Below are 26990 nucleotides of genomic sequence, written 5' to 3'. Positions count from 1 at the left end.
CCCCTCTCCGGTGCCCGCCCACTGACGGCCATGTACATTTTTAGCTGGAACATTTTCCTCCTCAGCGAGCTCCCCAGAGTTAGGCCCTCTGTTGCTATGGAGACGCGCTGGGGAAGATGCGCATGCCTGGTTTCATCAAGTCCTCGGAGAGCTTGGAACACAACCAGTTCGGTGGGAGTGAAAGATGGCGCTCAGGAAGCCCTAGGAAAGGCCTCTCCCTCTCCAGAGGCGCTGGCTGGAGATCTTGCGGCCAGGGGGCGGGGGAGGAAGAGGCTGTCCTCACAGCGCCTCTGTCAGCCCTGGGCAAAGCCGTAGCAAGGAACCACACACACGGATGAGGCGTGCAGAGGCCAGGGGAGGACAGGGTGGCTGCAGGCGGGGTGGAGCCTCAGGCAGGGTCTTACGCTCTCGCCAGATGGGAGCGGTGCTGACTCAGGGCTGCCTGGGACCAAGGGTAGTGGCCAGGCTGGCCAGCAGGGCACCAGGCCTAGCTGTTCCACCCACACCAGACCCAAGGGCCAGACCCCAGCAGCTCACAATGGAACACGGCCCACAGGGAGGAGGGAAGGAGGCCAGCCGACGGGCCGCCAGACACAAAATTAAGCACCAAAAATGGAGGGTTTGAGCCCTGTGAGTTCTGCCCAGGAGGGAGCCACACAGGACAGAAGGGAAAGGCCGGCAAGGCCTCCCAGAGAGGGCCAGGGCCGGAGTGGCTTCCACACGTTAAGTTTTCTATATTGAGCTTCCACATGGGATTCTGTTTGAAAAATGGGCTCAACTGCTAAAAACAAGTCTGAAAACCCCTGATATCAAGAAGTATGTGGGTGTTTGGGAAGGGGCCAGATGTGTCTGCAGGCTGGTGTGTGTGTGTGTATTCTCAGTTTCGGAGGTTTGCAGTAACTTCCTGTGTGTGTCTGTAGGGAGGAAAAAGCTCAGGGCTTGCTGGCCGGAAGCCCTGGCCAGGTTGGAATCCCAGCTCTGCCACTGACAAGTGCTGTGACCACGGGCAAATGGCCAACTTTCTCTGAGCTGTGGTTTCCTCATCTGTAAACCAAAGCAATGAAACAGTCCTTCCTCGCGGGGCTCTTGTGAGGATTCTGCAATGATCAACTTGAAAAATCACCGCGGGGGCAGACAGCAAACAGCAGCGCCTTCAAGATGAGCAGAGGGTCCTTCCAGGTGGGGAGCGGGTGGAGTGACTGATCTCTCTAGAAGCTGGGAGAGGGCATGGCTCTCTGTGGGGGAGGACTGTAGGCTAGGGTGGGTTGGCTCATGTCCCCCCACCCTGGGATGTTGACCTTAGAACCTGAAAGGAGACACCAGGCTGGGGTCAGGCTGGGGCCCAGAGGCCCAGGGCCTGTAACAGGATCTTCTGCCACCTGCCCCTGACACCAGCCGAGTTCATGTTTGGTAGCAACTCAGCGCTGTTTGCTGCCTGACAACTGGGCAAGACACAGCCCCAGGAAGATGCGAGGTCTCACCTACTCTGCCCTGAGCCCAGCGCTGCACCTAGGACCTGCAGACAATCCTCCTGGCACCCCGACCCTCCCAGAGAACAGGCCTCCTGGGAGATGGTGGGAACAAGAACTGACATCTCAATTTCATCCAAATGTCCCAAGTGAATCCCCCATCCCTCATCCTGGTGAGGATGTGCCCCACGCTGAGAGAGGAGACCAGATCTGCTGAGAGGCTTCCAGTTTTTGACCGTCCCTTGGGAGATGCCATGGCTGTGCTGCCAGCCCACAGGGATTCGAAAGTGATGTCCAAGTTGTTTATGGTGATCAGACATCGTACCTCCAAGGGGGCGCTTTGGGCTGGTTATAGCCACAGACATGATTCCAGGGAGGTGCAGGGCTCTGGGGGAAGTCCCCAGAAATTCCCACCTCAGGACCCTCCTTCTCTCCCTTCCTGGATCTCAGGGAGTGGGGATGTGTGGCCACATCTCAAGTGCTCGAGACTCTGCTCTCCCAGGAAGCCTTCCCTGAGGGCGGAGCTCCTCCTGACCACACAACCGCCTCAAGGTCACGCTTAGTTACTGTGGGGCTCATGGATGTGATCCCTGTCCTGCCCCTCCCCAGGCTGAGAGGGACAGCGCCCCAGCCTCCTGCCTGCTTTGTTATTCCCCAAAGGACAGCAGCTCAACAAGGCTCAGAGCTCAGGATGTAGCCCAAATGCAGAGCCAGGGAACCCAGAGACACCCACACACACACAGATGTGGACCTCCGATCAGGGATGCTGCCCACGTGGAGCTTGGCAAGCCCTGCCTCTTACGGCCACGCAGGTGCAGAACCTAAGGGGCCTAAGGTCTTGCTAGGGTCTGGGCTCACACTCAGTGGGGAGCCTCCCTGTGGGACCCAGGTCATCTGCAGAGGCACAGTGTGTGGCCAGGGGCTGTGGCCTGGGAGGGGATGAGGGGAAAAGGGCCTTGCCTTTTCAGAATTCCACTGCACACCATCCCAGCCCATAAGTTCAGTGCCTGATGATGCCCTCCAAGGGCAGAGCAGCACAAAGGTCTAGGGGTGTGCATGCTTCTTCTTCCTTTGAGGGGGGCCTGCCCTGGGAAGCAGCCTTGGCGCTAGGCCAGCTGTGGGCCAGGCTGAGCCCTCCCTCCCCACCCCTGCCCTCAAGTATTTATAGAAGTTATTTTGGGAATTTTCTTTCTGAGCTCAGGGCACATTCCTGGGATTCTGTAACAGCCTTTCCAGCTGGGAAGCCAGGAATCAGCTGGAAGCTGCAGGAGCCTTCTGGTCCCTGGAGCCTGCGTTTGGGGACACCAGGGCTGCTGGGAGGAGCCTGCTCTACAGAAAGGGCCCTCCCTAACGCCACCCTGGAACATAGACACACCCTTCCAGGGAGGCTGGCATTCCAGCCCAGCTCCAGGCTCTCTGGCATTCCGGATTCTCTCAGGTGTGTCAGCCTCAACCTGTCCAACCAGACCTGGAACGGGAGGGAGGGAGGCGCCTCTCCAGGCTGAAAACCTCCCACTCCCATCACCACAGGCCTCCTGGAGCCAGGGCAGCTCCAAAGCCACAGGGTCCTACTTCCCTGATGTGGGGAGGGGAGCAAACCCTTCCAGCCCCACCCAGTGCTGGGGTGGGATGTGTTCACCCCAGAGCCCCCTGGGCCTCAAAAGAAGAGGCTCCTGCTGAGAAGAGCCCAGACTCACAAGGAGCCCAACCTAGGTGGGGGTCTCCTGGGGTAGTGAGTACCTGTCCCTTTCTCTTCTGGGGTCCTTTACAAGTGAGATGTAGAAGAACACCAGTAGGCCTCTTCAGCTGGGGCTAAGGGTTGTCTGTTTTCAGAGGGGCAGGGACCAGCGGCCAGGGGCCCGATGGGTCACATCCTGGGGGACTCTGCAGCCTGACGAACCTCCAAGAAATTGACTTCCTTGCCAGCCGTCTCCTCTGGCCAGTGGCTGGGCCTTTTCTCCTCCCCTTCCTGGGCTGGTATCAGGTTCTAGGTCTGTAGGGGCCTCTACCCATCCTGGAGCACTGCCTGGCCCAGCCCTCCAGGTCAGTCAAGAGGCTGTGGCTAGGCCTCTGGATCCCGGGTTCTAGAAGTGAGTCCCCGTGATGGGGAGTGAGAAGGGGGCCCAGTCACAGAAGGTCCCCTCTCTGGGCAGGAGGTACAGCCAAAGGCACAGTAAAGGACAGTTTGGGGAGGGGGCTGCTGGACAGGGAGAAAGGGCCGCATTACCTTCTCTCTCCATGTAGGGTGAGTCTTTCTTTTTTTTTTTTTTTTTTTTTTTTTGAAAAAATTGATTCTGGAGCTTAATTAAGCCAGCAGTGCTCAAGTATCATTCTGATCTGAATCTATGACAGGCTTCCTCATCAGGGTTGGTGATGGACTTCAGGAGCCTATATCAGCTTAAGGTTTTCCCAGAGTCCTGAGCCAGGGCTCAGGGTGTGTGTGTGGGGCTGTGCCAGCCCAGGGATAAGGTGGGTAGGGAGGGGCCTCTGATCCCCACTGAGCAGGTGCTGGGGGACACACCCTCATACCCCCCACACCATGGGCCTGCAGAACCCTCTACTTTCGTCTCCTCTACTTTCCCATCAGGGAATGTGACCTCAGGCAGCACTGGCGAGGGGTGAACAGAAAGCTCACAATAAAATCATCTCATCAGAGGTCACAGAGCCAAGACGCTCCTATTGAACTTTCCTGCCAAGCAGAAGCAAGATTCCATGTCCTCTCATGGCCTAGACCCCTCTAAGCCACCTGCCACAGCTCCGGAAATGAACACAGAGAAAGAAGCCTAGAGCTGGTGGTGCGTCCTGGACCCTGAGACATGGGGCATAAGCAGCAGAGGCCACTGGCCCCAGGAACCCGGTACCCTGCTGTTTGTGCACTGAGCCCCACCCAGTGTCAGGGCACCTCCAAAATGCCAGGCACTGAGTGTCATTCCTCAGCTGCTCGGCACATCCTTCCTCCTTCAAGTCAGAAAACAGATGCTGAACCGGCATGGCGGTAGGTCAGGGCCTCCCCGGAGCCTGCCACCACAGAGCCTCTGCCCCAACGGGCACAGATTACCCAAGGTATCTCCCTCGTCCCTCAGCTCATTCTCCCCCGCAAAGCAGGCTGCCCTCCCCGTAGCTAAGGTCAGGCTGGGCCTTGCACTGTGTGCACTCTTGTCCTGTCCACAAGGCAGCTAGGGTCTGTGACCTTGGCCAGCTTCCCCTGTGGACTCAGAGAGGACGGAGTGGCTTTACTGCAATGAGTCTTTGGGGCTTGGCACCAGGTTTCCACTCCCCCCCGAGAACCAAGAGCATCTGAACATGGCCCGGCAGCTATGCTTCAAAGTGAAAAACATAAAAATAATCCCAATGACTGGGCCACTAACTTATGGAATTATTTAACCTAATTCTAACAACAGCCCTAGGTGCTTGGTATAGCAAGCCTCGTTTTACAGATGAGAACACTGAAGTTCTGAGAGGTTACAGAACCTGGTCAGTGAGTGAAGGCAAAGTGGGACTCAGGTCCAGGTCAGATGAACTTGAAGGCCCTGCTCCAACCTGCAGGTGCCTCCTCCAGAGCCAGCTCTGATACTCATTTTAAAAACCATCCCAGCCAACCAACCGTAGGAGAACCTCGAAGGCATCTTGGAGGTCCCTGTCTCTGCCAGGCACTCCCTCCCTGTCTTCTCAGCACCCTGCTGGCATCACAAGGAAATGTGGGCCAAAGACCCTCATCCCACACTAAGAATGGTCCAACAGAAACCAGCCTGGTCCCAGGTGGGGCTCAGGCTCAGGCCACGTGCCACCAAGTCATCTATGTGAATATAGTGATAAAAATGCCCAACGTTGACTTATCTTTTCACAGCTTTCAGTTCACCTGAGCCCTAAAACTGCTCCTTGAAGTCACAAGAGAGTCTAGATTATCATCCCAATTTGATAGCAGAAAAAACTGAGCCAGTGCTATGGATTGAATGTGTCCCCCAAAATTCATGTGTTAGCAACTTAAGCCTCAATCAGCAGAATTGAAGTGTGAGACCTTTAAGAGGTGATGAGGTCAGGCGGGCTTTGCCCTCCTGAATGGATTGATGCTGTTATCTTGGGAGGGGGTTCCTGGTAAAAGGATGAGTTCGGCTTCCCCTTCTCTCACACTCTCTTGCCCCTCCACCTTCCGCCATGGGATGAGGCAGCAAGAAGGCCCTCGCCAGATGTGCCCCTCGATCTTTGACTTCTCAGCCTCCAGAACTGTGAGCCAAATAAAAAGTTTCTGCTTATTGTAAATTACTATAAAAAATATATTTTTTAAAAAGGCCACACATGGTGGCTCATGCCTGTAATCCCAGCACTTTTGGAGGCTGAGGCGGAAGGATTCCTTGAGCCCAGGAGTTCAAGACTAACCTGGGCAACATAGTGAGACCTTGTCTCTACAAAAAATAAAAACAAAATATAATAATAAATTACCCAGCCTCAGATATTCTGTTACAGCAACACAAAATGGACTGAGACACCCAGTGAGGAAAGTAACCCTCAAGCGCCCCCATAACGCAGGGCTGCTTGTCTTAGGTTTGTCACCTCTCATATCTGGTCCAACCCTCCATGATGGGGGAGAGGGCCAGCCAGCAGGCGGAGGGGGTGATGGGTGAAGCTCTGTGTGGCCAGAGAGTTCATCCTTTTGGCCTTAGAGACCAGAGCCTTCTTGTTAGAGTCCCAGAGCACCTAAAAAGGCTCTGGGCTTGGATGGGCAGAGCTCTGGCCCTCAGTGACTCAGGTCCCGCCTTGGGAGGTACCAGGGGTGGCAGTAGGGAGCTTCTGGGGATTTAAGATGTGCCCCCTCATGCCACAGCCTGGGGTGAGGGATGAGAGGCTCTGAGGCCATACCCACGCTCTTGATCCTGCAAACCCACTTAAAGAATGAGGCGGCCTGCTCCACACTGGCAGCAAGAGGGAACCAATAAAGGGAAATCATTCATCGTCACTCTGTCATCAAGAGGAATGCAGATAACAACACTGTCTTCCTGTCTTTCCAGGGGCATTTGGGGAGAGAAGAAGCTGGGTCACATGCCAGGAATGCTTCAGTAACTGCATCCCAGGAATTACCAAATTAGCCAAAGCTCATGCAGAGCCATCTCCCCACTACTGCTGGGGTGCCTGACAGGGAGAGGTTCTGGAGAGCCTGGAGCTCCCTCACCAAGAAGAAAGCATGAGGAGGGGAGGGGCTGGGGAAGGGGAGGGACCAGGAAACTCCTCCTCTCCAGAGTCTGCCCCTGGGAGAAGAGGGCAGAGTGCCACCCAGACACCTCGCTTGTCCACTCATGCTTGAGGGTGTCAAGTTGTCTCTTGCAGTGCAGACAAGCTGCACCAAAGTGTCCACACTCTCCTTAGCCAAGCTGAGGGCAGGGAGAGTGGGTGGCTCTGTGGCCAGGGCTAGGACCTTCTTCAGGGGCTGCTGAAGGATAGCAGAACATGCCACCCCCAAATATGTCACTTGGGCGTAAGGACTGTTTTGAGCTGAAGGCAACTGAGAAGAAGCAGAGAAAAGAAAAGCTCTCTGCCCTCCCCCTATTTGCCTAAAAGCAGGATATAAATTTATAAGGGTGTTCCTCCTCCCCTCTCAACCAGGAAGGACAAAGGTTGATCACAGAAGACAACGTTAGAACCTTATCAGCCTGGAGATGGCACAAAGGAATCTACATAACAAGCGCTGCTAACTGGCCTTTGTCTACCATTAGTTTCCCATTGATTTGTCTTCCCACAATTTGCCATCCCCAGAGACTCCAAGTCCTTTTTCTTTGTCTCATTGCTTCTTTTAAATTGTATGCTCTTGGTTGAAAATGCTATGTAAGCCACAGTTCTAAGCTACCTCATTTTTTTCCTTTTTGAGACGGAGTCTCGCTCTGTCACCCAGGCTGGAGTGCAGTGGCGTGATCTTGGCTCATTGCAAGCTCCGCCTCCCAGGTTCACGCCATTCTCCTGCCTCAGATTCCCGAGTAGCTGGGACTACAGGCGCCCACCACCACGCCCGGCTAATTTTTTGTATTTTTAGTAGAGATGGGGTTTCACCGTGTTAGCCAGGATGGTCTCGATCTCCTGACCTCGTGATCCGCCCGCCTCGGCCTCCCAAACTGCTGGGATTACAGGCGTGAGCCACTGAGCTGGGCCTCTAAGCTACTTCTTTAAGCTTTTCTCGTTTTCCCTGAGTATCTCCCATGAATACATTTTATACATGTTAATAAAGTTCTGTTTGTTTTTCCTTGTTAATCTGTCTCCTGTTACCAAGGTCCCAGCTAAGAACTCAGAAAGGTAGAGGGAAAATTGTTTTTTCCTTCCTTACACTGGGAAACCAAGTCAAGCCAGTCATTCCCTGAGGTGCTCTAATCTCAGCTTCATGACCAACCAATGACCCTCCCACCATGAAGGTCAGGTGACTTCAAAGGAACCCCCTTCCTGGGAGGGCTCTCAATGACCCAACCATTCCACCAGTCACTGTTGGGACTCCCTGGTTTCCTCAGGTACCTCTTCTGCCCTTGGAAGTGCCTGGTGCAGAGGGGATCCAGGGAGGTGGCAGAGCAGAGATAAGCTCCAAGAGGAGTGCAGGCTGCCGGGGGTCCCTTCCTGGGCAAGCCTTGAAGCCCTCTCTGAAGAGCAGTGTCAACCAGCGACTCCTGCGCATTCTGGGAGGGCCTCTGCCTTCCTTCTCACGTTTCCCCATTGGCAGGCAGGCAAAGTTCAGTCTTCCCCTTCTTGGCTAGAATTTTCTGCCAGTGAATTCAGTTCTGAATACCCCAGCTGAGTGGGATTTCCAGCTACTGGAGAGAAGTCTGGGACCACACTGGCAGACTGTCAGGACCTGCTCCTGTGATTTCATTTCCACTGCAGAGAGCACACTTCTTTTTCTTTCTACACTTGCCAGTTTCCCGGAGGCCCCTGGCCATCCTTGAGCCTGGCACAGACGGCAGCCAGCAGGACCAGAGCCTGATGGACAAACTTGGGACAAATTCCGCTGGTTCTCTTGCCTAGCAGAGAACTGCCAAGGTGGCATCTCCTTCCTGCCTGGTCTGGGTAGAAAACCCTAAGCTGAACCCAGAGCAGGGCTAGAACCACAGAAACATCCCTTATTGCATCTAGGGCACCGACAGGGGGACAGGGAGAGTAGAGAATCTGCTCTTGGCCAAAACTTATATTCTTAGAAACATGGGGTCCCCAGCCCCTAAGAGCAAAGTCTTCAACTCCCAGTGGGCTTTCTTCAGCCTCTTGGCACTTGCCAATCCCACTCCAAGGACTACAGGGCCAAACCCAGCACCCACACAGCACACTAAGAATACCTCCACCGACCACTTTCCAGACCTCAGGGAGTGGGACTCACCCACGACCTCAGAGGGCTCGCTCCAGCCCAGGCTTGTGGGTGGCTGTGCCCTCAGGGGAGGGAAGGCTCTCCTTCCCCTTGTACTGATCAGAGGCCAACGTCCTCATAAAGTCACAGTGGCATGGTAAGGCCAGAGTGTCCTCCCTGGGGGCCTGCCCTGACTCCACAGCAGGGATACCTTCCACATTCCTCTCTTGGTAATTATCTAAGGCTGTACCAACCTCCAGAGTTCACAAAGGCTCAGATGACTGATGGACATCTTTCCTCTACTATTTTTACAATGAATCCCTTACATAAATGTGAAACTGACCTAGAATGACAGCTAGTAGTTCCTATCATGTTGTTTCACGTTGAAAAAGATTCCAAGATCACATCTTTGCTCAGTGGGAAAAAGGTGCTGTGACTGCTTAGCAATGTCTGACACTGGTGAGGGACTGAAGGGGGGTGAGATACTCCATGCTGTGCTTTGCCGTCTCTGGGATTGCACTGCACATATTTACACTTTCACATGCATCACCTCATTTGATTAGAACAACACTATGGCCCAGGAACGAGGATTATTATGTACAAAAGGGGACACCAGGAGCATGCAAGTTAAATGTGTCTTTTCCTAAGTCCCCCAAGTGGATCAGGGCCAGAGCCAGGATTAGATCCCAGATGTCCTGAGCCTCAGGCCAGCACAGGGAAGACACTTAGATCTGTGAACACTTGAGATCGACTCACTAAAGTGTTCAAATGTCTTTAGAAAATGAGCGCTTAGCAAATCTTCCCCAGGCTGAACATTTGCTATTCTTTATGCATATGTGTGGGATGCTGGCAGGAACAGAGCCTGTAGACGGGATGGGCTGCCCACGCAGAAGCCGACTGCCCCTCTGGTTGCTTGTAACTTTAAAAGAGGGCAGGCCTGGCTCTGACTTGCTCTAATTTCATCAAATCAGCAAGGCACCCCAGGAAGGAAAAAGGGACCATTTCAGAAACATCTGCAGGGAGCCACTCTGGATGGCTATTCAGTAACCATGGAAACCTACCCTTGGAAACTGCTTCAATTTCAGGAAAATAGCTACAAACAATAATAAGCATAAATGAAAAATGGTACACTGTTACTTCCAAATTGTACTTGTTATTGGATTCTGTTGGGTTTTCAGGGCTGAGCCTGCAGGCTTATATCCGTGAACACAGTGGAAGGCAGACATCTCTGCCTGGCTGCAGGCCCAATGATATAGCCCACACCCTCCCTCCCACTGCCCTAATCAAGTTTCTGGATGTGACCTCTGGCGAGGCATTTATCAAAGAAGCTAATGTCTAAATTGAGGGAGGAAGGAGGAAGCCTCTTGCAGAAAGCAAACATTTGCTGAGCTGACTGGAAGGCAATGCAGCCATGTGGGAAGGAACATGGACAAGGGTGTATGGTGGCTGCACGGGCTTTCTTCATTTGAGGCTGAACATTCACACAGACCTAAGTTAGAAATCTATAGAAATCAGGCAGCGGGAGTAATAGCTGAGCTGGGAATTTCTTTTGTATTTCCTTTTCAAGGACTGTCAGGTTGGAAAGGACCTGATGAAGATGACCTGGTCTGGCTCCTCCCCATGACGTTGCATTCTCTCGGCAACACTCTCACCAGATGATTACTGAGTATGTGCCTAGACTATGCTAGGAGTTATAACGTTTTCCCTGACATGGCTGAAATCTAACTCCCTGTAGCTTCTCCTCACGGACAAATCAGCCCCCTTTTGGCAATGCCAACTCTTCAGCCATCTGGAGCCATTCTCCTGATGCCTCTGTGCTCTCTACGTGCCAGAAGACGTCAGGGATACCCTAATGGCTGTTCTCCTTAACACTCTCTCACAGGGGGGACATCCAAGGTGGAACCCAGACCCTAAGAGGGAAAGATTGTTGCTAACTGTGGGCTCCTAGATTATCCTTCAAAAATCACTTGTGCAGATGCAGGCTTGCAAGCTTCCAGATCACTATATTTATCCGGATACATGTTCTCTGGAAGCAGCAAAGGAAAGCAGGAAAAAATGATAATCTATAGGGTCTAGTATATCACCTGTCAGAGCTGGTGCTCAATAAATGTTGCCTGGACCAGAGGATATCCACCGGACAGATAATTAAAACTAAGGTTCAGAGAAGGTGGCTGATTTACCCATGATCACCAGGTAGAGGTAAGGCCAGGACAAGAGTATCAGCATCCTGCTCCCCAGCCTCTGAGCTTCCCACAGGGAGGCCACTGTGCCCTGGACACCCAAGTCCTGAGCCCATGAATGAGGACCAGGGGCTACTGGATCCTCTTAGCACCCCAGGGACCATTCTCAGTGTGTGCTTGAGACAGGTCTGACATGACAGCCCACCCCAGAAAACCCCCTGAATCCCACCAAAGAGATGTGGAACTCCTTGGAAATGGAGGAGACAGGGAGGGTCTGGGGACTCCCAGAAAGAAAAGCATTTTGGTAACCACCTAGAGTCTGGATTAGCCTTCAGGGCAAGGGTCTGATGGTTAACAATGAGAGCCTTTTGGGGCTAGATCCCTTTGCGGAACCCTACAGCAAAAGGAAGTCACAAAGAGTATCAACCAAACCTTCTAGATTTTGTCATCAACACAGACCCTGATTGAAGGGAAATGGCCTGTGTCTACAAGAGAAGGCTAAGTATCCCAAGAACTGTCTCTTCCAACAGAGCAGGAGGGAAGCCCCCTCCCCTAGACACCAGGGAACAGCAGTAGCAAGGCACAGGCAGGCAGTGGAGTATGGGGACAAGGAGGGACAAAGCGGGATAAGGGCCCTGAGGCTGTGGGAGGAGGTGGTGGGAGCGCGGGGGGCTCTGACTCACCAGGCTATGCATGATGCGCACGCCATCTGGGTTCACCGTGAGCGCCTCCTTGTACAGCTGCTTGGCCTCCTCCAGGTTGCCCTTCACCTCAGCCAGCCGGCCCCGCATATAGAGTACTGAGTGAGAAGTGGGGAAGAGGCCCGCCGCCTCCTGGATGCAGAAACCTGCTTCCTTGAGGTGCTGCTGCTCCATGAACAGCTCAGCTGCAAAAGCAGAAGGGCAGTGGGAGGTGTGAGTGGTGGGGAGTCAGAGGCATCCTGACCCCCTCCCTGCATCCTCAGAGCCAGGGAACTAGTCTTAGGTGACAAACTCTATCCCACCAAATCACAGCATGGGACACACTGACTATAGGATGTAGTGGGAACACTAGGTAACGGTTTCTGAGTGCTTCCTCTGTGTCAGGCACCTTGCTAAGTGCCAGTCAATGGCACCAAGATCGTCCCAGTTAATGCTCACAAAAACCCTGTAGAACAAGCATTTTTTGTTTGTTTGTTTTTGTTTTTTTTGAGACAGGGTATCCTTTGTTACCCAGGCTGGAGTGCACTGGTATGACCATGGCTCACTGCAGCCTTTTTTTTAAAAAAAATTAATTTATTTATTTAGAAAAAGAGTTTCCCTCTGTTGTCCAGGCTGCAGTGCAGTGGCGCGATCTCAGCTCACTGTAACCTCTGCCCCCTGGGTTCAAGTGATTTTCCTGTCTCAGCCTCCTGAGTAGCTGGGGTTACAGGCACGCACCACCACGCCTGGCTAATTTTTGTATTTTTGGTAGAGGGGCTCAGGCTGGTCTCGAACTCCTGGCCTCAAGTGATCTGCCCACCTTAGCCTCCCAAAATGCTAGGATTACAAGCGTGAGCCACCGTGCCTGGCCTCACTGCAGCCTTGACCTCTTGGGCTCAAGCAATCCTCCTACCTCAGTCTCCAGAGTAGCTGGGACTACAGACATGTGCCAACATGCCCAGCTAATTTTTGTATTTTTTTGTAGAGATGGGGTTTCGCCATGTTGCCCAGGCTGGTCTTGAACTCCTGGGCTCAAGAGATCCTCTCACCTCAGTCTCCCAAAATGCCGAGATTATAGGCATGAGCCACCGCACCTTGCACAAGTACTTTTATTACCCCACTTTAGAGGGGCAAAAACTGGGCACAGAGGGGTCAAGGCATGGGACTAAGGCCACAGTGGGAGTAAGTGGTGAAGACAGGGTTTGCACTGGGCTGTCTGACTTCAGAACCTCGCGTGGGGATGTGGCGTCCCCTGAGCTAAGAGCTTGCTCAGGTGACTCCAGCCTCTTTTTCAGTGTTCCTTCACTTTGTTCATTGCATGTCCAGGGAGAAGGGGATGGAAGCAGACCAGGGATCTCTCTTTGGGCCCCTTGGTCTCCCAGGCAGGGGCTGACTGAAGGTAGGCGTGTGCTCAGAGCCAGGGAGAACCAAATGACCCTGCCAAGGATGGGGTGGGAGGATGAGGGAGAAGCAGCTCAGGGGCAAAGGAGGGCACAAACCAGGCAGTGTTGGTAACAGCTACAGAAACCACCCCTGCCCTGATGGAGAGCTGATGGGCCAAGCCCCACCAGGTTTGGGAAACATTTTCTCATTAATCCTGACAGCAAGTCTTGGAAGCAGGCAGGTGCTATAATCCATACTTAAAAAATGCAGGTGGCTGGGCTACAGGCTCACGCCTGTAGTCCCAGCACTTTGGGAGGCCAAGGCGGGTAGATCACGAGGTCAGGAGTTCAAGACCAGCCTGGCCAGGATGGTGAAACCCCGTCTCTAGTAAAAATACAAAAAAATTAGCTGGGCATGGTGGTGGGTGCCTGTGGTCCCAGGTACTTGGGAGGCTGAGGCAGAGAGTTCATTGAATCTGGGAGGCGGAGGTTGTGGTGAGCTGCGATCGCGCCACTGTGCTCCAGCCTGGGCGACAGAGTGAGACTCCATCTCAAAAAAAAAAAAAAAAAAAAAAAAAAAAAAGCAGGCTTAGGAGGTGAGGACCCCACTCCATTCCCTCACTGAGAAAGGGCAAAGCCAGGGCTGGACTCCCAAGCAGTTCTGTGGCCTCCCTCCAAAGCAGACACACACCCCTTTGGGCCAGCAGGCAGGGGAGGATCTGTCCTGCAACCAGAGGAGTAGGAAATGGGGCAGTTTCTCCAACCCAGGCCAGCCCCCACACACACACATTTCAGACCCACGTGGCACAGGCACACCCCACGGTAGGCACTTTAGGAGACGCGGCTCTTCGGCCTCACTGGGCACTCAGCCTTTGTCCAAAGCAGCCCCCAGGCTTGGCTGCCCACTCCTGGGGCTGAGCCTATGCTGAAGGCACAGAAGGATCAAGACACAGATGAGGAACGCAGAAGGGCCAGCAGAGTCTGACTTGTGGTTTTGCCAAGAACCCTGCCTAGCAAAAGCTGACAGCTGAGGTTACCCTAGTTCAGATTATGTCTGGGGTGGGATAGAGAACAGAGATGCCCAAGGGAAGCTCCCAGAAAGAGGTGGAGAAACCAGGCCCAGACATTCCCTCTTCCTGTCCCAGTAGGCAGCAGGAGAGGCCTAACTAAAACCTTGACTGCAACACAGGCACTGGGGTACTTAGCACGAGCATTGCCTAAGGTTCATTGTGCAACCCGAGTAGCCTGCCACATCCTAAAATACAACGCTTTCTGAGTGAGAGGACTCTGGTTTTTCTCTAGTGGAGATGAGAACTTGGGAGGATCAGAGAATTAAACACAGAGAAGCCAGGCTTCCTGGATATGGGAGAGAAATGCGGGCTCTAGTCCCTGGGGACAGCCTGAAATGGAGATTCCCAAGGCAGAGAGCAGAGGAAATGGGGTCTTTGAACCCAGGGGCAGATGGCTGGTAGGGGGAGGGGTCAGAGATTTGGCTCTCTCAGCCTCAGCTCTCCCTCTCCGCTTTGCTGTTGAGCTGCTGCTGGGGCATCTGAACAGGCTGCCCTCATAACTGAGTGCTTAACATACAACTTTTGAGTACTGACTATGTGCCTGGTCTCCCCACAAGGAGGAGAAAGAGTGGGGACAGGAGTGGGAGCAGCTGAGCCACTAAACCACTTCAGAGACCAGGACAGTGGAATGACAAGTGCCACATCTGAGTGTTATGGGCACTCAAGAGGGGCTAGGTCGATGCTGCTGGTGTGGTCAGGGAAGTCTTCCTGAGGGAGGAGGCATTGGAGCTGGAGCCTGAAGGCTGCAGAGGCCTTTGGACTAAGAGGACAAGGAAGATGGGCTGGGCTCCACTGTGGCAGAATCCCCCAGGGTCACGAGAGAGGAGAAGCAGAAGGAAGTGTGTGGGTGTGACTTTTGCAGGGTGGCTGCTTCCTCCATCGCCAGAAGCTCAGTTTAGCTGAGGGCCCAGGAGTCAAGCTCCCCACTCCCCTGGTCTACTTGGCCCTGGCACAGCTGATTAAGCTGTTTACAACTTGCTGCGCTGTCTCCAGAGGCTGCCCCTTGTCCCTCCCTTGGGGACCCCTCATAGTGTATTCACATCAACAGATTTTAATTAGAGGGTACCCCACCCAATCCCAATCCCTCTTGCCTCGGGGCCCTGGTTCTTCCAGAGGCCAGGGCCTTGCTGGGCTGGCCACACACCAGAGAGCACGCCCTGAAGAACCGTTAGGGCTGCTCCACTGATGGGCTCCATTCCCAGTTAGACAGGAAACCAGAAGACACAGACCAGAGCCCAAGCAGGGAAGCCTCCTGAAGGCTTCTGGCAGCCTGGCAGACAGTGCCCAGCAGGGCCAGCCTCCAGGGTAGGCCTCTGACCTGCACACAGGCCCAAAGGTCTGGGGTGACAATGCACTGCCCCTTGCTAGTCTCAGTGTCCCTGAGCAGATGCCTTCGGCTCCTGCTCGACGCTTTGCTAGCCATGGTCAGATAGCTGCAGTAGCCCTGGGGCGCCGCATCCACCCACGGCCCTGATCCTTCCCAGCCTGGCCGTGGCTGCCAGGACCCAGTGGTGCCCACATCCATCCCAGCATCCCCTGGCCAGGGCACCACATTTTCCTTGAATTTTCATTGTCGAGGTCATCATCCAGCACACGGGGCTGGATGGGGGGGAGGGGTCAGAGATTTGGGCACACGGTGCCCCTGCTGCACCCTCAGCGTCAAGGGGCCCCTCCATTCCTTCATGCTGTCTTCCCCTTTCTGATTTTCCCTCTGCTCTCATCATCCTCCTGCCTACCCCCTGACCTCTTCTCTTGCTTGTCTGTCTCCGGTTTTCCTCCTCTTCCCTCCATCTCTCTCCACCCCCTCTCCTCTGTGCTTTCTCTCGGCAGGCTACAAATGGAAAACATCTGTTCCCTGGAGCTTTGCAAGAGGCCCTTTTATTATTTTTTTGAGGCATCCTGGTCTAACCCTGCACCCAGAGCTGGTTCCAGTCTTCCTGCCAAAGCCGAGGCTCTCCCACCCCGGGCAGGGGGATGGGCCCACTTTCCATGGGCTATTTCCACACCCCCTTTGCAGGGAGGGCCTTGCCCGCAGGCTGGCCCTGTGCTAATGAGCAGGGTACAGAGAGCCTGGGCCCACCCCCAAGGCCTCTTAGGGCTTCTCCAGGTGAGTGTGCTTCCTACAGAGACCCTCCCCCAGACTTCAGAGAGGTGAGCCACAGGGCAGGAGAGAAATAGGTTAGTCCCCCCAAAAGAATTCACCATGGCTAGCCTTGACCCTCAGTGGGGGCCATTTGGGTGACCCAAAGGAAATAAGCATCAGACACTCAGAGCATATAAATGCCCAGAAAAAGAAGGAAGGTGGGGAGAGGGCAAGGGAGGAAGGAGAGTGAAGATCAAGGGGACTAGAATGGAGAACGCCCAGGCCAACACAGGGAATCCAAAGGTCTCCAGGGAGTTCTCAGGTTGGTCTGAGACCCTCCATCCCTGGGACCTAGAGGGCACAAGGCAGTCAGGGGCTGCATGGGCCTGTCCTGAGAGTGGCCTCGCTGACTCGGGAAGCTGGGAGGAGGGAAGAAAAAGCTGGAGCCAGGGAAGAGGAGGACGTGGGAAGAAGGCACTGAATGAAGACAGGAGGGGGGCAGGAAGGATGACAAAGAGTAGAGGAGCATGTAGGACCAAGGGTGAGCGCCAGCTTCTCCCTGGACTATGGCTTCATCATAAACACCCGCTTCAGCCACAGCGCTGGCCACCCCACCCCAGCCCCCCAAGTCTGCCCAGGAGACACCTGGGGTGGCCTCCAACTGCGGGCCAGAGCACCGGCACCAGACCACAGGAGTCTGGCACTGGGGAGCTGAGACTCAGGCCAGCTTCCCCTAAACCTGGAGAAAGCCCAGAGCTACCCATGAGCCCTTGGACCTCCAGGGTAGGGGCACTCTCCCTACATGCGTCTCCTGCTCTGGCCCACTGTCAGCTCCCAGAGCCGTGACCTGGGATCATGGGGGTCATGGGGGATGAAGGGGTAGTTCTTGCTTTTAGGGAAAGCACCTCTCTCAACACTCAGATCCTGGAGCATCTATGGGACTCTGTGCCTCTCCCACTCTCACACAGACCCGCTGCCCAAGAGGCATTGCCCTGCAGCCCGTCTCTCAAGTGGGTACCATTCATCAGCTTCTCGCACTGGACTGGAATTGGAAGGAGGCTTGAAGAAGGGAGGAGAGGAGGGCAAGAGTTGAGAGAGGAAGGCTACGACAGTCTCTTTGAATTCAACCAAAGAGTGAATTCACGATGGAACTTACTGCCATACAGATTGGGATGCAATTTATCTTGAACCAAACCAGGGGGATTAGCTCCTTCCAAAATGATCAAGGCATCTTTTTCCCTTCCTGCAAATTTGCTGCAGCTGGTGGAGTCATTAGGCAGGGTTTGGCGGGGGGATGCTGATTGTATTCTTAGCCTGGGTCAGGTGGGGGAGGCGGTTTAGGGAGATCATTGCCCTGGTGATCTGGTCCTGGCAGCCCTCCATTCAACAGGTGCTTGGTAGATGCTTGCTAGTGATGATGGCAGCCAGGGGAGGGGAGAGGGCTCAGGGGGTGCAAATTACCCTGGAATTCTCTCATGCTCAGAATGAAAGAACTAGGACACCTTCTCATGTTCCTTTCCTGGCCGTGGCGGTTGTGCACCAGTCACCAGTGTATTCTCCCCTTCTTCTAGCAGGATAGATCCCCTGACTTTTTTTTTTTTTTTGAGACAGGGTCTCACTCCCATTGCCCAGGCTGGCATGCAGTGGCACAGTCTCAGTTCACTGCAGCCTCGACTTCCTAGGCTCAAGTGATCCTCCCACCTCAGCCTCCAGAGCAGCTGGGACTACAGGCATGCACCACCATGCCCAGATAATTTTTTTGTATTTTTAGTAGAGATGGGGTTTTACCATGTTGCCTGGGTTGGTCTTGAACTCCTGGGCTCAAGTCGTCTGCCTGCCTCGGCCTCCCAAAGTGCTCGGATTACGGGCATGAGCCACCGCACCCGGCCTGATCCCCTGACTTTTAATGGGACACCCAGAATAATGACATCTGCCAGAGCCCTCGGCAGTTAGGGGCAGTCAAATAACTAAGTTCTGGCCAATGGATCATGAGGGGAGGTGATGTGTGCCAATTCCAGGACATGTCCTTATAGGGAAGGGGGTGCCTTTCTTCCTTGTAAATCGTTTGCCTTGGAATGTGAATGTGGCAGAGAGCCATCCTGGACCACATGGACGACAGTGATACCCTAGGGACAGAAGAGTCGCTGTCCCAGTCAAGGCTGTCATCTGTAAACTGTAAACTGTTACATGAGAAAGAAATAAGCACCCACCTTGTGCAAGACACTGCTATTTTGGATCTGCTACATGCACCCAAACTGGTCTCCTAATACTACACTGCCTGACCCTGATGCAGCGCCACATTCAAAGCATTCAGATGCTGTTCTCGGAGTTCTCTTCTGTGGAGTGAATATCTAAGACAATGACCAAAGAAGAAAGGCTCATGTGCAAATGACTGAAAGGCATGTGTTTCTCTTGACATTCCCAAGTCTAATTACTGGCTTCAGGAGGGCCTTTAACCTTACTTGGAGTTATCAGCACATGCTAACATCCCTAGTATAAAGCAATATACAACCTGAGAACTGCAAGCAAGCTTGTGATGATGGTAGTAAACAAACAAGACAAATCAGGCCGGGCGCAGTGGCTCACGCCTGTAATCCCAGCACTTTGGTGGGCCACGGCGGGCAGATCACTGAGGTGAGGAGTTCGAAACCAGTGTGGCCAACATGGTGAAACCCTGTCTGTACTAAAAATACAAAAAAAATTAGCCGGGCACGGTGGCACACACCTGTAGTCCCAGCTACTCAGGAGGCTGAGGTGGGAGAATCACTTGAACCTGGGAGGTGGAGGTTGCAGTGAGCTGAGATTGCACCACTGCACTCCAGCCTGGGCCACAGAGTGAGACTCTGCCTCAAAAAACCAACCAACCAACCAACCAACCAACCAACCAACCAACCAAACAAACAAACAAAAAAACCCACCAAAAACCCGCCCACCAAAACCAAGGCAAATCATTCAAACAAAGGCCTGGGAGCTCTGGTACAGGCAACCCACAACTGCAGAATCTGATCACTGTGTTACGCTGCATTCCTTAAAGCTGGTGAAGCCCCCATCATGGGTGCGAAGCTGTGGGGGCTGGGGCTCCATGCGGCCCCTTGGAAGTTGGAAGTCATTATTTTAGTCTTAGAAGTCATTAGAATCTTAGAAGACGACGGGAACCTTTGCCTAAGGCGAGGCCTTGTTTATTATTCCTCTGGATTTTTCAACATCCCTCTTCCTACTTAAAACCCAACAAGCTGACTGTGGAGCAAGTGCAGCCTCCGCCCACCCCCAGCATCCGAAGGGACCCCGAGATGCTAACTGGGACAGTTTCTGCATTGTTAAAGTGCTCCCATGTCTAGCCTTCCTGTGAATCCTATCCAATGTTTTTTGCAGATTCAGAACCTACAGTGGGGAGAGTGGGGGCGTACTGCATACTAATGTGCCGTATGTGAGGAACATGCAGTGGGAAACCTTAGATTCTCAGCTAACAAGCATATTCGGACTCTGACTTACCAAATCCCCATGTCCCAGTAAGAGATCATCAACTTTCGGTTTCTTCTCCAACTCCCCCCCTGGGGACAATAGCACACCCCCATGATGGAGAAGGAGCAGAGAGGAGGGTAATCAGAGAAAATGCAAGAGGTACTCCTGGGCCCAGAACTTCACGTGGGCAGCTCTAGGCCAAGGGGTTGTGTTGGCCTGGGGTACTTTAGGGGTCCATTTAGCCTATCCTCCTCCTCTGTCTTCTGCTGCCATTTTATTTCATTCAGGCACTTGTCATCTTTGGCTTTGGCTCTCTCTCTTTCCACTCTGATCTACCTCTCACACTACTGTCAGGGTAAATTTTCAAAACTCTTGGCAGCGAGTCCCTCCCGGGCATTCATAAGCCGGTGTTAAGACACTCGCTGTCCGTGGGGCCATGCTGCCTCTTCCTCCACCATGACTGCCATGGACGAGACGGAAGCCAAACACCTTTTGCTGAGCACTTGTAATGGCCACCCTGACTGTGTCACACATTGGCTCGTTTCAGATCAGGGCTAGCCAGCTGTGGGCTGCTTTCAGAACCCAGGTCTGTGGAACTCTGGAGCCAGGCTTCCTACAGCCTGCCTCCCCAACACTGGCTGGCCTTCAGACGCCTGGTGGCAATGGTATCACTTAGTTACCAAGAGGGACTGTCACCTGAATGGCAACCTCAAAGTTACCAGTCTTTCCTCCATCTTCAATGAATTCTACCCCCAGCCCTCTCTTTCTTGGGGCCTCCACACCTCCCCTCTCTGAGCTCTCCAGGGTTTGAAGCCTGTTTTTGAGACTGAGACAACTGTCCATCTGTGTGGCCTCTCAGGACCTCCAATCCTCTCACGTTTGGGCTTGCTGCCAGAGAAGCTCTCCCAGGCAGGAAGGCAGACACCATCTCCACTGGGCAGAGAAGGAGACCCACAGCCAGAGGCGAGGACTCTGTAACCCGCGTGGGCCTAGCAAGGTGTCCCCACCTCCCCACACTCCCTTCTCCAGGACAGGGCTCTGAGAGCATGGGTGGCCTGCAGACAGGCTGTGTGTGTCACTGGGACCAGGGCACTCACCAGCCTGCAGCCAGATCTGTTCCAGCGTGGTCCACAGCTGCATGGGGCCCTGCTTCAGGACCGAAGAGGGCATAGTCAGCTCTGACATGGCCTCCTCCAGCCGGGAGGCGGCGATGGACGAAGCCCGCCGGGAGCCTGCAGAGCAAGAGGGCACGAGCCGAGCAGTGGTCAGAGGTCCACACGTTGCAGGCCCCAGGAGCAGTCATTGCCCAGCACCATGGGGAGACAGGGCACCCTGAATCAGGGTAGGGTGGTGCGGCTGGGCAGCCAGAAAGCAGCTCACAGACCCACTAGGGAGGGCCCACTATGTCCTCTCACCCACAGCTGGGGAGGGGAGCTCTTTGGAGGAAAATCAGGCAGAGATCCCACTAGGATCTATTCCTGGGAAAACAATAATGTCAGCAAAGATGCTCTTTACGTGAACACAACAGAAATAACCTCAGTGTCCAACAATAGGGATTGATTAAAAATAAGTGGGGGTATAATCATCCCAGACTCTGCGATCATTAAAATAACAAAATACAAATACAGATATCAATGTAGAAAGATGTTCGCACTATATAGTTAGGTGAAAACAAGCAAGTTACAAAAGAATAGGACCACATTTTTATAAAAAAGAAATATGGGCATGGAAAAAAGTCTGAAAGGCCATTTATTAAGGTCTAAGTGGTGAAATTAGGAATGATTTTTCTTTTCTTCCCTTGGCTATTTTCACCTTCTGTTTTCACAAGTGCATATTCTCATTTGTTTGTAGAAAGGTACCCATTCAAGGCTGTGCTGTGAAGGACTGGATAGCAGCTCAAGTCAGAACACTGCCCTCTGGAAAACCTCTCTCAGTGGCAGTTCTGGGTGACATGGGCTCCGGTTCAGGACATATAAGCTGTTGACATTTATAATTCCCATGCAGGTGAAATGTGAGCACTTTCTCTCTCTCTGTCATAGACGCAATAAAGGCTCCAATAAACTCAGGAGACCTCACGGCAAACCACGGATGACTTCAGTTTATGAGACAAGTGTACCTGGAGTCCTAATAACTTTGTTCATGATTCTTCCTTCTTTAATTGCAAGGGAGCTACCATTCTCCCCTCCCTTAACCATTCCCTCCTGGGAGACAGAAGCTCTGCATACAGCCATACACCCCTGAGATGTGCCTCTAAAGTTGGGTGCTAGGTTTGGCTTCTGAAATCAACTCTGTCATTTGACAACAAAGGTGCAAGGCTTTGTCCACAGAAAGGCTCATGTCTACAGAAGTGAAAAAACTGAGCAATTCCACTAAATACAACTCCACTCACACCTTCTTTCCCATGACTAATTCTTGTGTTTTTGATGAAGGTGTTCTGCTTTAAGCAGGTCCTCAGTTAAAAAATGTTAAGTCTGCAGTTCCTGAACTCATTTGAATTTCACAAGCCATGGGTTTCAGGATGAGTTTTTCCAGAAAAGAGTCTGCTTTCAGCTTAGAATTGTAAAGAGCTCAGTCCATTCCTTTCTATTTGACTTGATCTGCCAAGGACATTACGTGGACTGTGGCCTCTGGCTTGAGCCTAAGGGGAAACGGTTTCTGTGCTCCACAGCCACCTTTTCAGCCAGGCTCCTCTTTCTTCACCCCCATGCAGGAGGCAGGGTTCCTCCCCTGCCCACTGCCCACTGTGGGACCAGCAGCCAGCCCCTACCCAGAGCCAAGATCAGCCCCAGAAGTTGCCCGAGCTGGCAAGGAGCCAGTGGTGGGCTTGGCCCGGCTGGGAGAGGGCCCGGCCCCTCTCTGTGTTGGTGCTCTCAAGCTGGGAGTGTGAGCTGTGGGTCCATGCACACAGTGGCCCAAGGAGCTCGTTCTTACCAGAGTCTGCATCATGGGCATCAGGCAAAGTCAGGTGCATGCCACTCTGCTTCTTCATGGTGAGGCCCTCACCGAAGCTGCCATCCTTTTCTAGGCCTCTGGAAGGCAAAAGAGGGCCAGGGTCCGGTAAGGTAGAGGGCTAGCATCACAGGGCCCAGTGAGGTAGAGGGCCAGCATCACAAGGACTGGCAGGGAGAATGGGACAGCCTCACTCCAGGCAGGCTCTGGGGCTGTGGGTTCAGGCCCAAAGACAGAGCTGAAGTCACCAACATCACTAGAGAGGCAGGAGGGATCAACGTGGGTCGCATACCACACAGGCTGAGACCTGGAAACTCTCCCACACTCCCTACTATCTTCTCTGAAGTGGGTAAGGCCAGAAGCTCCCCAGGCCAGGGGGAGCAACATCCAGCAGAGTGCCAGGCAGAGAGTGGGGACTGTGGACTGACTGCCAAGGAAAGCCTGGTCTTCATAGGGCACTAGAAGTGCTGCAACCCCCAAACCCCTATGGAAAAAGGGCCCGGATGTCACCCCCTGCCTCAGGCTTCCATTCCTTGGGCTGCCAGGGGGTCCCCAGAAGAGCCAGCGGAGGCCCCTGGGGTGGCAGATCTCCAGGGGTAGCCCCTGGAGATCCCATCTTGTCCCCCAACCCTTGTCCCCAATTTCCCAGATCCCTGCTGCTATACTGCTGGCGGGGGGGAGGGGTTCCTCTTTTCACAGAGTGGGGGCAGCGGGGAGCCAGGAAATAGCCTCCAGCTTAAGCCCGCCGTGGCCATCCTGGGGCACAAGCAGCCCCAGCCAGCACATTCCCACTGCCGAGGAAGCCCACAACCTTTGACCCTGTTGACTGGGGAAACTTAGAGAATAGAAGCAGAAGGCACAGGAGAGGAGGAGGCAGGCCAAGCCTGGGCAAGAAGGTTTCTTTCCTTCAGAGAAGCACCAAGATGATGATCCCACAATGAATACCAGGGGTGTCCTTGCCATCGTAACTCAGGCTCACCCTGGCTTCAACTCGGGTCTGGGAATTTTAGTGGGCATCAGAGGAAACCATCTATAAAACCACAATGGCTCAGGGCTGGCTCCCTTCCTCTCCCACCCCTTCCCATTCCCAGGAGGCACAAAGTGTGGTGCAAAAAAGCCAGAGACAGGCCAGGCATGGAGGCTCATGCCCATAATCCCAGCACTTTGGGAGGCTGAGGCAGGAGGATCACCTGAGGGCAAGAGTTCAACAACAGCTTGGATAACAGAGTATGACCCCATCTCTACAAAAAATGTTTAAATTAACCAGACATGGTCGTGGGTGCCTGCAGTCCCAGCTATTTGGGAGGCTGAGGCAGGAGGATTGCTTAAGCCCAGGGGACAGAGGCTGCAGTGAGCTGTGATCCTGCCACTGAACTCCAGCCTGGGCAACAGGGCAAGACCCTGTCTCAAAAAAACAAAAACAATACAAAACAAAAAAGCCAGAAACACTAGGCTGGAATCATGGGCCACCTTTCTCAGCTTTGTGACCCTTGGCAATGCTACTTGACCTTTCTAAGTCTTAGGTTTCTCATCTTGAAAATGGTCATGAGAATGTCCATCACACAAGGTGGTCGTGGGGAGCAAATGAGACAACATGGGCAGATCCTGGTGCAGGGCTGGCATGGAGCAGGGCTGGGTGCAGCTTCCCATCCTACTCTTTCTCCCATCCCGTGAAGGGGCCTTTCCTAGGGCTCCACAAAGAGTCCATCTCCAGGACTACACTTGGTTCTAGGCCAATGTACAGCATGGTCCCTACCTTGAAGAACCTTACAGCCCAGATGGGGAGAAGGGACCGTTCAAGTTGAGCAGTTAGCAAAAACCCACATGAGAGGGTTGAATGAAGCATTTTAGAGGCTGGGTGGTTGGTGGCTCCATGAAGGAGGGGCATCTGGACAGGGCCTGAGGGGCAATTAGAACATGAGACCAGCAGTGTGGGGCTGGCCCAGGCAGAGCAGAGGAAGGGGGTCAGGGAGTTCAGTGGAAGGTGCGGCTGATAGTGAAGGTCTGCTAGGCCAGACCTGCAGGCTGTGGTCTTAATCCTTGGCTCCAAACTAGATTCTACCCTCAGTGTAGGGCAGGGCTATCTGGACCAGGAGCCTGGATCCAATATCCTCCTGGCTTTCCCAGGAGACAGGGAGGATTCTTTTCTAAACTTGGGGCCACAGATCAGAAACCAGGGCTTATAAAATCTAGTTTGGGGCAGCCAAGGAGAGGTGCTTAGGGGCTTCCCATTGTGACAAGCCCCAGCCCTGCAGTTCTGCTGCTCCAAGGGAGGCATAGGCCAGGTCTTCAATGCTGGGAGACAAGGCTGCAGCTCAGAGGGGTCCCACCACGACTGACCACTTGGAGGAAGAGACAAGCAGCCATCCAGATAAGGATGCAGGAACAGAGCGGCCAGCTCTGGAGCAACCCCCTTGCAGGAAGGGAGCCAGGTTGTGCACCTGCTTGTGCGGCCACAGCCAGTGAGCAGGAAAACAAGGCCATCGGAATGCAGGTCCCTTCACCCAGAGTGTGGCCCTTGGCTTCATGCATCCAGCTGCCAGGTGGCTTCAAATTCTCATTCTGAAAAGTCCCTCAACCCCAGAGCCTCCTTCTGGCAGCTTCCGCCCACTGGTCCTCCTCTGCCCTGGTCTCCCAGGCCTGAAAAGTGAGGGCTGACTTTGCCCAAGGTGTTTTACTCTGTCTGATTACCCTCCTCTGTAAATTTCACTGTTACAGATGTTCCTCTGGGGAGTCTGGAAGCCTTCTGGGCTCCTAAAGTCTCTGTGAAAACACAAATATACACCAGACTGGGGTCCCCTGAGGCCTCAGGGAGATGACACAGCCAGCTATCCCAAAGAAGGACAAGAGGATCAGGAAGAGGCAGGGCTCCTGACCTGAAGGAGGCCCACTTTCCCTTTGGGCCACATAGGCTAAGCCTAGGCATCCCATTGGGTTTGAGCAAAGACTTCCTGCAGATTCAGCCTGGACAAGAGTGCCCTGCTCTGGCCCATGAAAGACCCAGGTCCCAGGCCAGGGTCTCCAGCAGGAGACAGGAGGCATGAAGACCGTGGGTGACTAGGGAAGAAGGGGTGGCCCTTCAGGAGTACACCTCCTCCTCCTCTTCTAGCCTCCAAATGGAATGAGGAAAGAAGTGACAGGCTCCATGGGCTGGAACTCAGGAGACCCAAGTTCAAGTCCCAGCACTACCACTTACCAGGCGAGTGATTCTGGTAAGCTATATATAAAGTCTCTGTGTCTGAGTTTCCTCACTGGGCTGGGAATAAAATCTGATAATGCATAAGCTATAAGCAGCTGAGGTGTAAGATAAAGGAACAAGCCCAGCACCCAGCTCCAGTGCTCAAGAATGATTTCTCTTCCTTCTTACCACTCTGAACCTCAATGTCCTACGTAGGGTCTCTATGTACTTCATAGAGGACTGTCAGGAGGTTCAAACTGGACTATGGATGTGAAAGCTCTGTGGGCAGGAAGTTCCACGCTCTCATTCAAAAGCCTCACTCTCCTCCCCATCTTGGCAGGCATGGTGGCCACCCAGCTGTGGATTGTTGCCCTGGCAACCACCCTCTGGCAACCCAAGAGACAATGACGGCCACTCACCCCAGCTGGGAGAAGCTGTACAGGGTCTGCCACAGCCTCAGCACTTGTCTGCAGGTCACGAGGGCTTCCTCTGGGCCTTTCAGCACCTGCTCCAGCTTCACCTTGGTGAACATCAGGCTGTGGGGACGGAGAGTGGCCATCAGCACACCCCAGCAAGGGCCCACTTTCACCTGGGGATCCTGCCCCACCAGGGCGGCTCCACATGCTCACCTCCCTAACTCGCAGAAAGCAGAGTGCCATGAGGGCAGCAGCCTCTGCCATGCCCCTGGACCGCTTGCTTTCTCTGTGTGCCTCAGTTTCTCCCCATCTTTGCTGCCAAAGCATGAAGCACTCCATGAAGCATTGTCAGTGCCCACACTGCTGATGCCCCGTGTCCCCTGACCATGTGCCATCCTGCCCATCTCTGAAGCACTGTTCTGTGAGTCCTGGTCTTGCTCGGTTTGCTCTTCCTACCCACATCCTCCACTAAGCAACGCCCTGTGCCTAATGATCGTGGGACCAGGCTTACACTCACATTCCCCACAGGGCCCAGCATGGGACCTTGGATAAGAGACCCATCCAGACAGTGACTTAGAATCCGTGAGTGAAGGTAGAGCAAGGAACTGGCAAGGAGGTCCCCTAAGGACAGAGCTCCACTTCCCACCTTGCCAGCCACAACAGTATAGGTGCCCAAGCAACGCCTCCTAAGTGGAACTGCAAAGTTTGCTTCCTGACCCTGGAGATACACAAAGAAGGCGGTGTTATGCTTTATCAAAGGATTCTTCCTTGGATTTCCCAAAATAGCCAGCTCCCCTTATATAATCCATAGG

The 26990-nt window shown here is 53.6% G+C and overlaps 1 protein-coding gene across 17 annotated transcripts in view, besides 10 other annotated features; it reads right to left on the bottom strand.

Annotated features, from left to right (window-relative positions):
* The window catches only part of TTC7A (tetratricopeptide repeat domain 7A), a 160258-nt gene that overhangs the window by 3511 nt on the left and 129757 nt on the right, over positions 1-26990 (bottom strand). For 10 of the 17 annotated variants that reach the window (NM_001288953.2, XM_047445148.1, NM_020458.4 and 7 more), the window contains 4 exons: positions 26182-26298; positions 22567-22664; positions 20733-20867; positions 11642-11844 (listed from right to left, as the gene is read on the bottom strand). In NM_001288953.2, the coding sequence (NP_001275882.1) occupies positions 11642-11844; positions 20733-20867; positions 22567-22664; positions 26182-26298 (553 nt within the window). Of the gene's footprint in view, positions 1-11641; positions 11845-18383; positions 18525-20732; positions 20868-21366; positions 22274-22566; positions 22665-25275; positions 25348-26181; positions 26299-26375; positions 26897-26990 lie in introns of those variants that run through there. The other 7 variants (XM_017004524.2, XM_047445146.1, NM_001288951.2 and 4 more) reach the window with 6 other exon arrangements.
* Positions 320-3977: an enhancer, noted in NCBI's record as "VISTA enhancer hs1967". NCBI's record gives its function as "enhancer in: somite[9/9] | heart[8/9]" and the evidence as "EXISTENCE:transgenic organism evidence [ECO:0001131][PMID:17130149]".
* Positions 648-1505: an enhancer, noted in NCBI's record as "H3K27ac-H3K4me1 hESC enhancer chr2:47298247-47299104 (GRCh37/hg19 assembly coordinates)". NCBI's record gives its function as "activates a minimal SCP1, AML or CMV promoter by ChIP-STARR-seq in naive H9 embryonic stem cells {active_cell/tissue: H9 hESC(naive)}" and the evidence as "EXISTENCE:reporter gene assay evidence [ECO:0000049][PMID:30033119]".
* Positions 2362-3218: an enhancer, noted in NCBI's record as "H3K27ac-H3K4me1 hESC enhancer chr2:47296534-47297390 (GRCh37/hg19 assembly coordinates)". NCBI's record gives its function as "activates a minimal SCP1, AML or CMV promoter by ChIP-STARR-seq in primed H9 embryonic stem cells {active_cell/tissue: H9 hESC(primed)}" and the evidence as "EXISTENCE:reporter gene assay evidence [ECO:0000049][PMID:30033119]".
* Positions 5667-6225: an enhancer, noted in NCBI's record as "H3K27ac-H3K4me1 hESC enhancer chr2:47293527-47294085 (GRCh37/hg19 assembly coordinates)". NCBI's record gives its function as "activates a minimal SCP1, AML or CMV promoter by ChIP-STARR-seq in naive H9 embryonic stem cells {active_cell/tissue: H9 hESC(naive)}" and the evidence as "EXISTENCE:reporter gene assay evidence [ECO:0000049][PMID:30033119]".
* Positions 14675-14764: an enhancer, noted in NCBI's record as "active region_15721". NCBI's record gives its function as "activates an Ori minimal core promoter by ATAC-STARR-seq in GM12878 lymphoblastoid cells {active_cell/tissue: GM12878}" and the evidence as "EXISTENCE:reporter gene assay evidence [ECO:0000049][PMID:35858748]".
* Positions 16065-17013: an enhancer, noted in NCBI's record as "H3K4me1 hESC enhancer chr2:47282739-47283687 (GRCh37/hg19 assembly coordinates)". NCBI's record gives its function as "activates a minimal SCP1, AML or CMV promoter by ChIP-STARR-seq in naive H9 embryonic stem cells {active_cell/tissue: H9 hESC(naive)}" and the evidence as "EXISTENCE:reporter gene assay evidence [ECO:0000049][PMID:30033119]".
* Positions 20760-20966: a silencer, noted in NCBI's record as "fragment chr2:47278786-47278992 (GRCh37/hg19 assembly coordinates)". NCBI's record gives its function as "represses an EF-1alpha promoter that drives an FKBP-Casp9 reporter gene in an ReSE screen in K562 erythroleukemia cells {active_cell/tissue: K562}" and the evidence as "EXISTENCE:reporter gene assay evidence [ECO:0000049][PMID:32094911]".
* Positions 22022-22995: an enhancer, noted in NCBI's record as "H3K27ac-H3K4me1 hESC enhancer chr2:47276757-47277730 (GRCh37/hg19 assembly coordinates)". NCBI's record gives its function as "activates a minimal SCP1, AML or CMV promoter by ChIP-STARR-seq in primed H9 embryonic stem cells {active_cell/tissue: H9 hESC(primed)}" and the evidence as "EXISTENCE:reporter gene assay evidence [ECO:0000049][PMID:30033119]".
* Positions 25807-26307: an enhancer, noted in NCBI's record as "H3K4me1 hESC enhancer chr2:47273445-47273945 (GRCh37/hg19 assembly coordinates)". NCBI's record gives its function as "activates a minimal SCP1, AML or CMV promoter by ChIP-STARR-seq in naive H9 embryonic stem cells {active_cell/tissue: H9 hESC(naive)}" and the evidence as "EXISTENCE:reporter gene assay evidence [ECO:0000049][PMID:30033119]".
* Positions 26308-26808: an enhancer, noted in NCBI's record as "H3K4me1 hESC enhancer chr2:47272944-47273444 (GRCh37/hg19 assembly coordinates)". NCBI's record gives its function as "activates a minimal SCP1, AML or CMV promoter by ChIP-STARR-seq in naive H9 embryonic stem cells {active_cell/tissue: H9 hESC(naive)}" and the evidence as "EXISTENCE:reporter gene assay evidence [ECO:0000049][PMID:30033119]".

Source organism: Homo sapiens, chromosome 2, assembly GCF_000001405.40.
Source record: "Homo sapiens chromosome 2, GRCh38.p14 Primary Assembly".
NCBI classification, from domain to species: Eukaryota; Metazoa; Chordata; class Mammalia; order Primates; family Hominidae; genus Homo; species Homo sapiens.
Note: the sequence above shows the minus strand (reverse complement) of the source record. Positions and strands in the feature narration are given on the sequence as shown.